General features: G+C 51.5%; 1 protein-coding gene across 1 annotated transcript in view, besides 3 other annotated features; it reads left to right on the plus strand.

The window, feature by feature from the left end:
- ASRGL1 (asparaginase and isoaspartyl peptidase 1) overlaps window positions 1-5014 on the plus strand; it is a 63984-nt gene extending 58970 nt beyond the window's left edge. Inside the window, exon 6 of the mRNA XM_011545265.4 lies at window positions 4778-5014. Coding sequence (XP_011543567.1) covers window positions 4778-4842 — 65 coding nt within the window. The 3' untranslated portion in view covers window positions 4843-5014. The remainder of the gene's footprint in view (window positions 1-4777) is intronic.
- Window positions 168-669: an enhancer, noted in NCBI's record as "H3K4me1 hESC enhancer chr11:62164057-62164558 (GRCh37/hg19 assembly coordinates)". NCBI's record gives its function as "activates a minimal SCP1, AML or CMV promoter by ChIP-STARR-seq in primed H9 embryonic stem cells {active_cell/tissue: H9 hESC(primed)}" and the evidence as "EXISTENCE:reporter gene assay evidence [ECO:0000049][PMID:30033119]".
- Window positions 670-1169: an enhancer, noted in NCBI's record as "H3K4me1 hESC enhancer chr11:62164559-62165058 (GRCh37/hg19 assembly coordinates)". NCBI's record gives its function as "activates a minimal SCP1, AML or CMV promoter by ChIP-STARR-seq in primed H9 embryonic stem cells {active_cell/tissue: H9 hESC(primed)}" and the evidence as "EXISTENCE:reporter gene assay evidence [ECO:0000049][PMID:30033119]".
- Window positions 1837-2481: an enhancer, noted in NCBI's record as "H3K27ac-H3K4me1 hESC enhancer chr11:62165726-62166370 (GRCh37/hg19 assembly coordinates)". NCBI's record gives its function as "activates a minimal SCP1, AML or CMV promoter by ChIP-STARR-seq in primed H9 embryonic stem cells {active_cell/tissue: H9 hESC(primed)}" and the evidence as "EXISTENCE:reporter gene assay evidence [ECO:0000049][PMID:30033119]".
- Window positions 5015-12232: the final 7218 nt, after the last annotated feature.

The following is a 12232-nucleotide window of genomic DNA, read 5'->3' on the forward strand; positions in this document are numbered from 1 at the left end:
TATGTAGGAGGAGGCATAGGAATTATTCTACCCTTTTGGAAGATGAGAAAATAAGGCCTAGAAAAATTGGAGTTTCCCCGGTCTCTTGTCCCTCTCAGGTTAAAGTGAAGTTTAACTCAGCCTTCCCTATTTTCAAATCCTCCGGCTCTCACCCCTAAGCTGCTGCTCCTAGATCTAGAGGCAGCCCCAAGAGGGCCCCAGGCGAAAAGCAAGAAAGACCAGCACACATGGACAGCTCTAGCTTTCAAAATTCTGGGATTTTTACAAACCACTATTTAAATGAAGTTGGATTTTCAGTGACAGAGGTAGGGGCCAGCCATGGACTCTGCTGATAGGGGAAACCAGCCTGGGGTGATTTTTTTTTTTTTAATCACTGATCATCTCAAGAGTTAACTTTTTTGCTATGCAATTATCAGCACTTTCTGGATCATGTGCAGAACTCAGATAAGTGTTAGAGTTCTTATCCACAGCAGGCAGCCAAGGAGAAAAGAGGTTGAGTCTTCCTGTCCTATCTCTGTAATACTGAGGCTCCTCTCAGCAGCCACCGGCCTCATGCCTGCCCGCCTTGGCCCTGGATTGTCACCTTGCAGGGCAGCAGTTTGTTATTAAACTTTTTTGTTTGTTTTTTTTGAGACGGAGTCTCACTCTGTTACCCAGGCTGGAGTGCAGTGGCGCGATCTTGGCTCACTGCAACCTCCGTCTCCTGGGTTCAAGCGATTCTCCTGCCTCAGCCTCCCGAGTGGCTGGGACCACAGGCACACGCCACCACGCCCAGCTAATTTTTGTATTTTTAGTAGAGATGGAGTTTCACCATGTTGATCAGGATAGTCTTGATTTCTTGACCTCGTGATCCTCCCACCTCGGCCTCCCAAAGTGCTGGGATTACAGGCGTGAGCCACCGTGCCCGGCCAAGAATAATGAAAAATGTAAAGCACATGTGAGAAAAAAACAACAAAAAATGGGGGACGCTGGGCATGGTGGCTCATGCTTGTAATCCCAGCACTTTGGGAGGCTGAAGCGGGCAGATCACCTGAGGTCAGGGTTCGAGACCAGTCTGACCAACATGGAGAAACCCCGTCTCTACTAAAAATACAAAATTAGCCGGGCATGGTGATGCATGCCTGTAATCGCAGCTACTGGAGAGGCTGAGGCAGGAGAATCACTTGAACCCGGAAGGTGGAGACTGTGGTGAGCCAAGATCACGCCATTGCACTCCAGCCTGGACAACAAGAATCAAACTCCGTCTCAAAAAAAAAAAAAAAAAACCACGGGAAAAATTTCCTATCAGCCAGTGAATATCACTATTAAAATCTTACTGTATATTCTTGCAGATCTTTTTCTGGGTGTGTATATGCATAATTATTTTTTCAAAAGTGAGACCATGCCATGTATGTTTCAGTTAACACTCTCCACCATTGCTTGCCAAGAAATGTTCACCTTACCTAATATTTGGTCAATATTCAAATTTCCCCAGTTTTCTCAAAAATTGTCTTTTTAGCAGAATTGTTCAAATCCAGCACCTTTCTTACTGGCACTGCTTGCTGGGTAGTTAGGGCCCCGGGCCCCTCGGCGTCGCATCTTCTGCTTGTCAGGCTGCCCCTCGTTGAGTGAGGGAAGCACCTGGCTGAACACCACCACAGGCGCTGGGGGCCAGGCCGACCATTTCAAACAGAAATGTCGACACCCTGCCACCGCAGGAGCCATGCAGCGCTGGCCTGTGGGCTGGGGAGGGTTTGGAAAGGGAAATATGGGTTGTGCCAAAGCACAAGGCCCCACCCAGAAGTTTGGCAAAGGGTGACTTGGAGTGAGAAGAGCAGGTGGGGAGCAAGTCCACCCTGCGCCACCACCAGGAAAGGACCTGCCCCCACCCTTCCTCAGCGGCCTCTTCCCAGGTCACTTCCCCTCATACAAAAAGCGTGTGTGCTCCCTTCCCAGCTCCCCTCACCTCAGCCTTTCCCACACAGCTAGGAGCCAGAGCTACCCCACGTGCTTGTTGGCCAAAGGGCCACTTTCAGAAGTGTTTACAAATTACCCCAGGTGGAGGCCACTCACACCAAATCCAGGAACATTTACCTCGGGCATAGAACCACATTCCCTGGCTACCCAGTGAAGATCCCCGGGGGCTCGAACCCCCAAATTCTCCCAACTTTCTTTGCAGACACCAAGTATTTCATCTTTTTTAAAAGTAAGAAACACCAAGGCCAGTTCCCCTCCTCCTCCCATCTGCTCCCCGCCCCTCCCCTGGGCCCACTCCCGCTAGCGGCGGCGGCTCATTGCAGGCCGGCATGTCTCCCCGGTGACCTCACCCCAGATCTGGCCTTTCTCTGTCAGGCCTCACAATCTTCCGGGCCATCTTTGTTGTCTTATCTCTGGCTTTGGCACAAATATCACACCCTGGATGCCTCATGACTAAAAGTCCATCACTTTCCCCAAGCCCTTTCCCTGTCTTCCCTAGAAATTCCAATATATGGCCAGGCGCAGTGACTCATGCCTGTAATCTCAGTTCTTTGGGAGGCCAAGACAGGCAGATGACCTGAGGTTAGGAGTTGAAGACCAACCTGGCCAACATGGTGAAACCCCGTGTCTACTAAAAATACAGAATTAGCTGGACGTGGTGGTGCAAAACCCCGTGTCTACTAAAATACAAAATTAACTGGGCGTGGTGGCACATGCCTGTAGTCCCAGCTACTCAGGAGACTGAGGCAGGAGAATTGCTTGAACCCGGGAGGCAGAGGTTGAAGTGAGCCAGGATCATGCCACTGCACTCCAGCCTGGGCGACAAGAACAAAACTCCAACTCAAAAAAAAAGAACTTCCAACATATTTGTCCACTGCTCTCAAGCACAAAGGGTCAGGACTCAGGGCAAGGCACCCTGCAGAACTGAGAATTCTCCCCACACTCGCCTCCTTAGCATTCCCAGCCCAGAGTTCTCACTTGGACTCGTGTAGAGAACAGGCAGCCAGTTCGTGTGATTGCAGATCTTCTGCTGTTGTTCTGCCGGGTGCCCCACCGGTGTGTCTGCACCAGCTCCTTCAGACAGGAAGCCTCCTTCGTGCCAGCTCTACAGTGGCCTCCCTGGCAAGGGGCTTCATTTTATTTGAGAGAAAGGGTACCAACACTGCTCCTGTCTCTAACCACCATGGCTACGGCCCTCCTGCCCCCTCCCCAACTCAGCCAGCCCCTGGCCAGGGTCTGCCTGCAGCGGGCTCAGATGGGGAAGGCATGAGTGTCCTGCTGGTGTGAGCAAGATGTTCCAGGCACCTCTAGGACCCAGCGGGCAGCACTGCCCTGACCTTCCTGGGGTCAGCTCCCAGGATGGGGTACAGTTGGCCCCTGGAGAGCTACCTGTGAGGGCTAGGGCACAAGCAGCATCAGGACTAAGCTGCAGGCCATTTGGTGCCACCCTGGCCCTGCCTGGGCTCTGAGACCCCATACCACACACAGCCTGGCTTTTGAGCCCATCTCAGCATCGAGGCTGCCCGTGGCGGCCACTAGGGTGGCAGCTGGGCCTGTGCTCAAGGATGAAGACCCAAGAATAAGGAAATCCCACCTCCTTCCCTGAACTCTCCACCCACACCAGTCCATCACAGCCCCTCCCAGAAGCGCTATCCCACCCATCCTCCAGAATGAGGTCACGCAGGGGGCTCCAGGGATTCCTCCTGCTGCCTGGATCCAGTCTAAACCCCTTGGCCGACTTTCAAGGCCCCATAGGCCAGCCCCTCCTGGCTGTAGGCCGGGTCCCCCACTGCCCCCCAGGATATGAGGGGCTCCCCAGGCCTTTGCACACCCAATTCCCTCTCCAGAAATGCCTTTCCTCCCTCAAAGGTCCTCACAGGGGGAACAGTAGTAACCTCTCTGAGAGGGTTGTTATGAGGATTGATTAACAACTGGAAAGTTCTCAGAAGTGTGCCTGCCCCTTCATAAGCCGTCGGTAAATGTTAGCTATTATTTTATTAACCATACCAACCAGAGTGAGCCGTTCCTTTTCTGAGCCCTGGCCCTCCTCATGGTCACCAGCCAGCAGCTTCTGAAATGCACCTCTGTTCCATGGACCCAAAGTTGCTTTAACCATTTTGGACACATGGACCAGCAGGGGCGCGGCTATTTCTGTGCAAGGCTTGGGCACTGGGCAGAACCCCAACCCTCCATGCTATTAACACAGAGGAGAACCCCAGCTTCATATTTTATGTTTTATGAAACACGTTTGCATCTATTTCTACTTTGTGGAGTAGCCAGGGCAGAAATCATCATTGCCATTTTCCAATCGGGGCCCCTGACACTCAGTGCTGTGGAGTGCCTTACCCGCGTCACACAGCAGGTAAGTGGCTGAGGCAGGCTTCGAGTTCAACTCTGCTTGATCCCAGGCCCAGGGCTTCTTCCTCAGCACCAAGCTGGGTCACAACCAGTTAAGTGCATCTCCCTCCTTCTGAAAAGTAGCTCAGATGCCAGAGGAATTAGAGACGGCCGCACAATGAAAACCAGACGCCCTGCCCCTCGTCTCTGGACCAGCTCCCAGGAAAGGGAGGACAGCTGGCTGATATGTGGCCTCTGCGCCCCGCCCTGCCCATGAGCTCAGCTCTGGCAGAAAGAGCTCCTCACTAGGGAAGGCCTGGTGAGCCCCTCGGCCTGGGAAAGCCTCTCCACAGAGCCAGGGCCAGACCACAGGGCAGCCGAACTCCAGAGGTCAGAACAAGGAGTGCCCAAGGCCAACCGCATTGCCATTAACCCTCTGTAACTTTCCCAGTCCTGCAAACTAGGTGCTGTGCCTGTTTTTCAGATGAGAAAACCGAGGTTTGGAGAAATGCGATTTTCACGCTAGCAAATGAGGATGCCAGGATGTGAGCCCGTATCATTGCAGCTGCACCTTCAGGCCAGTTCTGGGAAGCTCATAGTTGGGGGCTGGGGGAGTGGCTGTCCCTCTGTAGCTGCCTTGAGAACAGAGACCACCTCTGTCTTGCTCATAGCCATTCTCCGGCACCATGTGCAATAAATATCTGTGAAATGAAAGAATGAATCCCTAGATGCGTCCTTCACTTGTCCTGAGGAAGGCGGGATTACAGGTGCTTCAGCCCTGGCTGCGAAGGTGCCTGGTTGAGGCAAGCCCACCCTGAGGCCTGGGAAACACAGCCAGCCCTGCCCACCACCCCTCCTAACCCCACAGCCTACAGGGCAACTCCATCTGCACCAGTGACTTCACAGGGTTGGGGTCCCCTTGCCCTCTCTCCCTCCCCTGCCTTTGAGGACAAGAGCTCAGCTCCCAATCACTGGTGAAGCTCTTACGGGAGGGTCCCCAGCAGGTCAGGGCCTGCAGGAAGAGAGAGGGCAGGGCTCCATGAGAACAAGAGTTGGGGTGGAGGGAGCAAATGTGGGGGTGGTGAGAAGCTGAGAACAGAACAGGGGGATACAGGAGTACACACCTGGGGGCCCCCAAGTCACTGGCCCAGTGTACAAGGTGCTGCTGCCTACAGGAAGGCCCGTGGGGCTGAGGGCAGTGCCAGGCTGTGTGGAGCAAGGGGAGGCCGTGGCAGGGCTCAGGCTTGCGTGGGTGCGTGTGGGGTGGGATCCAAGTCCATGAGCCCAGGCAGAGGGATCATTCACATTCATTTAACAAACATAACAACAGCCATGGCCACAAAGCAGAAATAACAATGAAAGCAAACTCCACCCCAATCCTAACCCGCCTGCTGCTGGCCAGGAGAGCTCAGCACGCAGAGCTCAAAAAGACCCTGAATTGAACTGTGGCCCTGGCACCTGGCTGTGTCCCCCTCCCTCCGACCCCCCAACAAACCCCATTCTCCAGTCCCTGGGGGCACTTCCTCCTCCCATGACCGCTGCCCTCACCTCCCCAGCCCTGCCTCCTTTGACCCCGCTTTCATGCCTTTCGTAGTGTCCCATCGACTCCCAAGTGAAACCTCAATGCCTCTTTGGCACTCACAGCTATGGTCTGGCCCTTCCCCGGGGTTGCAGCCTTGGGAGTGCTCAGCGCCTCTGTGCCACGTGCTCCGCTTCCTCCCACCACCGAGCTCCACCCTCTTCCCTCTGCCCACAGCGCTCTTCCTCCCCACTTCAGACACCGATACAGCTCACTCAGGGCCACCTCCTCCGACCCCCTCACCTGGTGATCCCTCCAACACCCCTGAATCTCTCCTTCCTGGAAACGGTCGCCATTGCAATGAGCATCTGTCTCCCCCTCTAGACAGTGGCCCAGTGCTAGCACCAGGCGTGGTGCATAGTAGGGCCTTCTTATGTGTGTGGGATGAAAAAGCACCAGACAGAGGCTCCTGGCTTCTCCCAGCTCTGACCTTACTTCCTCCCATGAGGTCTATCCCAGCCCCCACCAGACCCAGCCCAAAGACACCTCCTCCAGAAAGCCTTCTGCACTCTCCCAGAAGTTGTGTTTTTTTTCCTCTGAGCAATTCTTAGGGGACTTCCCATGAACTATGGCCAGATTTGTCCATCTGCCTCCCCATTCAACTGTGAGACCCTTGAGGCAGCCCCAAGCCCCTGGGCCCAACCCACAACAGTGTCTTCCCACACCAGCCCCTCAGCCACACCAGTCCACACCCTCTGGGAGCTTTGATTCTTCCCGTCACCTAACAAGCTGTGACAGCCCACCCCTCTGATGTGGAGGCTGGTGGCCTCCATCAGCCCCAATTTACAGATAAGACCTCTGAGGCTTAGAGAAAAAAAGCGGAAAGTTCAACATCCTTCCAAACGTCCACATACTTGGCACTATGTAGACTCTTGTGGGACAGAGTCCCAGAAGTGCCCGCCTTAGGGCCTGAACATTTCACATTAAGGTCCCACCCTTCAAAGGAAAGAAAGAGAGACAAAGAGGACTTCATTACTTTAATGAGGATCGTATTTTAAAACTTACTCTTTAGCGGCTTAGACTACAGAGAAGTCTGTTATTTCATGAAAATGCTCAGATGACATTTACAGCAACTGCTTTCTGTTTGTCAAAGTTCTATCAGTCCCTCCCATGGCATGATCTTTTCCTTCAAAACTTTTATATCTGATTCTATGAAGCCAATTTTTATTGGCAAGAATAATATAAGAAAGGATGATATTACCACCCCATCCGTCACCACCCTGTCAACTCCATCACCACCTCAGAAAGGGGACTAAGGCCGGGACGGTGGCTCATGCCTGTAATCCCAGCACTTTGGGAAGCCGAGACGGAAGGATTACTTAAAACCAGCATGGGCAACATAGTAAGACCCTGTCTCTATAAAAAATAAAAAATCAGCTGTGGGTGGTGAGGTGCTGTTGCAGTGCCAGCTACTCAGAAGGCTAAAGCGGGTGGATCATTTGAGCTCAGGAGTGAGTGAGCTATGATCAAGCCACTGCATCCCAGCCTGTGTGACAGAGCAAGACCCTGTCTCTAAAATAAAAATTAAAAAAAAAGGCCAGGCACGGTGGCTTATGCCTGTTAATCCCAGCACTTTAGGAGGCCGAGACAGGTGGATCATTTGAGCTCAAATGTTCAAGACCAACCTGATCAATATGGTAAAACCCCGTCTCTACCAAAAAAATTACGAAAAGTAGCTGGGCGTGGTGATGCATGTCTGTAGTCCCAGCTACTCAGGAGGCTGAGGCAGGAGGATTGCTTGAGCCCAGGAGGCAGAGGCTGCAGTGAGCTGAGATTGCGCCACTGCACTCCAGCCTGGGCAACATAGGGAGATCCTGTCTCAAGAAAAAAAAAAGAAAGAAAGAAAAGAAGGGAACCAAAACGGAAGGGGCTTCAGGTGGGGGGAAGAAGGGCCAGAATTAAATTCCATTTCACCCAGCAACAGTTTTTGAGACTCAGGGTGTACAGAGGTTCTATGAACAGCAAGAAGGACTCAGCCTCAAGATGAGGATGCTTAACGGAAGGCAACCAGCAGGGACCGGTGCTGCAAGCGAGGGGAGAGGTGAGGTAGGGCTGGAGGATGGTGGATTCAGCAGGGCGGGTGTAGACAGTGGGTTTGGACAACGGACTCAGCAGGGCGGGTGTAGACAGTGGGTTTGGACAATGGACTCAGCAGGGCAGGTGTAGACAGTGGGTTTGGACAGTGAACTCAGCAGGCAGGTATGGACAGTGGGTTTGGGCAGCCTCCTGGTGTTTAAATCCTAGCTCCTCTCCTTGCTGACTATAGGGCCTTGGGCAGCTTCCTAAGCCTCAGTTTCTCCATCTTTAAAATGGGGACAGGAGCAGTGCCTACCTCAGAGGATCACTGCGAAGGTTAAATGAGATACTGCATTTAGCACAGGGCCTGGCAGAATGGAGGTGTTGGTTATCGCTGCTGTTGTCACGGTGGGACGCTGAGTATTTAGTATGTACCACACACTGCTCTGAGCACTGGACACGTCCTTCCCACTGATGCTCCCAGAACACCTGGAAATGCGGCTGTAGGGTGAAAGGCTCAGAGCCCATCATCCATTCAATAAATATTTAATAAGCACCTACCAGGTAGCTGGGCCCTGGAGAATCGAAGGTGAGCATGCAGCTTACATTCTAGAGGGAGAGGTAGATAATTACACAAGGAAACACAGAAGCAAAATCATTTCAGACGGTGACAAAGGTGATGAAGGGAAGAAAGCCAGACCCTGGGATCCCAGGGGGTGGGGGAGGGTGCCCCACGGTAATCAGAGAAGACTTACCTATGATGAGAACAAGGTGCAATCAGGAAATAAACTGGAGGAGGCAGGGCAGGCAGAGGGGAAACGAGTGAAGGCCGGAGGTGCTCTGAGGGTGTCCCTTACCCTGGAGGTAAGGAGGCCAGTGTGGCCACAGGGTGCTAGAGGGATATGGCGGTAGTGACACAAAATGAGGCTGGAGAGACAGGTGGGAACAGGTCACATGAGGTCTGGAGTTTTATTCTAAGTGTTATGGGGAGCCAGGAAGAGTTTACACAGAGAAGGGACATGACCTGATTTACATTTTTAAAAGATCACTGGCTGGGCACGGTGGCTCACGCCTATAATCCCAGCACTTTGGGAGGCCAAGGCGGGCGGATCATGAGGTCAGGAGATCGAGACCATCCTGGCTAACAAGGTGAAACCCCGTCTCTGCTAAAAATACAAAAAATTAGCCGAGTGTGGTGGCGGGCGCCTGTAGTCCCAGCTACTCAGGAGGCTGAGGCAGGAGAATGGCATGAACCTGGGAGGCGGAGCTTGCAGTGAGCCGAGATGGTGTCACTGCACTCCAGCCTGGGTGACAGAGCGAGACTCCGTCTCAAAAAAAAAAAAAAACAAACAAACAAACAAAAAAAGATCACCGTGGTTGCTACGGGAGAACGGACTTCATGGGGCCACTGTGGATGGCAACCTTGACCTTGGACATGAATCCCCTGCTGAGCCAGAGGTAGCCCCCTCACCCAGGCCCGGGCCCCTCCCAGTACCCTGGGGAACAGGTTGCTTACACTTGCCCCTTGCCTGACCAGGGCATCTCCATTTCCAGCCCTTGGGGCTGGGGGATGCATGTTTTCCAGTTATCATATTTTCTGGCATTATGAATCCACCCAGGAAAGACCCACAAGTGATTTTAGAGGAAAGCAAATAGCAGCCAGTAGTGCTTGTTTTTCAGCTTTTATAAGCCCCACAGCTGCATCAAGTTCAGAGCATAAATGCATTGAACTGTGTTTGCTGGTAAGATGTTGCGTGCATTTACAGCTGAGCAATAAACGGCAGGGACAGAGCTATGCTCTGCAGCTCAGAACAGCAGGAAGACTCCTAGAGTGAGGACCCTAGGACCTGATACCATTTCTGGCTCTGCCCCTAACTCTCTATGCGACTTCCCATCAATTACAGCTCCTCTCTAGGCCTGAGATCTCTTCTCCAGAGCAGAGGGTGGAGTAGCTCTTCCCTACTTTCTCCCAGGCCAGTGACTAGAGGATAGAATTCCCAGGAGTTCAGATTTGGGGCAAGCCAGAGGCAGCTGCCGAGACCATCCAAGCTGTTCCTCTTGCACTGGCAAATTTTGGAAACATTAACCCATAGTATCTTTCCTCTTATTTTCCTTTCTTTTTCTTTTTTTTTTTTTTCTTTCTTCTGAGATGGAGTCGACTCGCTCTTGTTGCCCAGGTTGGAGTGCAGTGACACAGTCTCAGCTCACTGCAACCTCCACCTCCCGGGTTCAGGTGATTCTCCTGCCTCAGCCTCCCAAGTAGCTAGGATTACAGGCGCCCGCCACCATGCCCGGCTAATTTTTTGTGTATTTTTGGTAGAGATGGGATTTCATTATGTTGGTCAGGCTGGTCTTGAACTCCTGACCTCAGGTGATCCTCCCGCCTAGCCCTCCCAATGTGCTGTGGTTACAGGCATGAGCCACCAGGCCTGGCCTTATTTTCCTTTCTTCTCTTAGAACTTCCCCTGATTCTGGAAGCCAAGGCAGCCCCAGGGAAAGGCTGCTTTCCCCAGGGAAAGGATAGAGGAAGAGGGAGTCTTTTCCTGGCTGTACAGTTCAAAAGCCCAGTCCTTTGGAGGAATGGAAAGACCTGCAGGTGCTGGTTTTGTGTAAGAGTCAGGCTTCCAGAACCCCCACCCCACCCCCAGACAAGAAAAGGATTCCCAGGGTGGCCAGGAGGTAAAGAGCAAGAGTTACTAAGTGTTGGTCCCTGCTGAGACCAGTGACCTTCTGTAAAAGGCTTTAAAAACAATGATAAGGCTGGGAGCAGTGGCTCACACCTGTAATCCCAGCACTTTGGGAGGCTGAAGCGGGAGGATTGCTTGACCCCAGGAGTTTGAGACCAGCCTGGGCAACATGGTAAAACGCTGTCTCTACCAAAAAAAAAAAAAAAAAGCCAGGCATGGTGGCACATGCCCGTAGTCCCGGCAACTAGGGAGGCTGAGGTGGGAGGATTGCTTGAGCCCTGGAGGTTGAGGCTGCAGTGAACCATGATCACGCCACTGCACTCCAGCCTAGGCGACGAGCAAGACCCTGTCTCAAAATAATAATAATAATATATGCAAGCTAGAAATTAACATGTTTATTACTTATTTTTAAGTAGACATTATATTTGACATGGAAATTATTTCTCAGAACTCCCAGTTATACGGGTGATCCCCAACAGGTTCATTTGTCTTTTAAAAATACAGATTTATTTGTTTATATTGACAAGTAATAATTCTATATATTTATAGGGTACAATGCCATCATTTTGCCTACTCATTTTTTTGCCCAGCTAACTCAATTCATGAGTAAATTCATGAAGGTCTAAAATCCTTGGAGGCGGCTTCAGAGTTGGTTCTCATCTCAACTCCTCCTGGGTGCTACCCATGCCTGTGTGTAAACAGATTCAACATAAGCAGCAAAAGCACAGTGACTGCAAAGACCAAGAAGTAGAACTTGAGTTGCTTCAATTGTGTCCCTTTTTATTTTTTTTTCTTTTTTGAGACGGAGTCTCCCTCTGTCACCCAGGCTGGAGTTTAGTGGCATGATCTCAGCTCACTGCAACATTTGCCTCCCAGGTTCAAGCAATTCTCCTGCCTCAGCCTCCCAAAAAGCTGGGACTACAGGTGTGCACCACCACACCCAGCTAATTTTTGTAATTTTAGTAGAGACGGGATTTCGCTATGTTGGTCAGGCTGGTCTCGAACTCCTGACCTCAAGTGACCCACCCGCCTTAGCCTCCCAGAGTGCTGGGATTACAGGCGTGCGCCACCGCACCTGGACTCCAATTCTGTTCTTCTATGAGACCACTTAGAGTTTCTATGTGGGCTTAACATTCAAAATAATGGGCCGGGCGTGGTGGCTCATGCCTATAATCCCAGCACTTTGGGAGGCCAAGACGGGCGGATGACGAGGTCAGGAGATCGAGACCATCCTGGCTAACACGGTGAAACCCCGTCTCTACTAAAAATACAAAAAAATTAGCCAGGCGTGGTGGTGGGCACCCGGGAGGCAGAGCCTGCAGTGAGCTGAGATCGCGCCGCTGCACTCCAGCCTGCGGGACAGAGCGAGACTCCGTCTCAAAAAAAAAAAAAAAACACATTCAAAATAATGATAGAGTGTATGATATAATATTTGTTAAGAGAACATTTTAGTTCATACAGGAAATATTTTACTGTATTTTAATATCTTTACAGTTGAAATATTCCTTCCCAATGGTATTTGTTTTAGAACTAAAGAACAACTCAAAAAAGTAAAACATCACATCAATGGTACCATTTAGTAGTTGCCTAAATTTTACCTTTTATAGATTTTATAGACATTTTGGTTTCAAAAAAATTTACTTATTGGGTACTCGAG

Source organism: Homo sapiens, chromosome 11, assembly GCF_000001405.40.
Source record: "Homo sapiens chromosome 11, GRCh38.p14 Primary Assembly".
Lineage (NCBI taxonomy): Eukaryota > Metazoa > Chordata > Mammalia > Primates > Hominidae > Homo > Homo sapiens.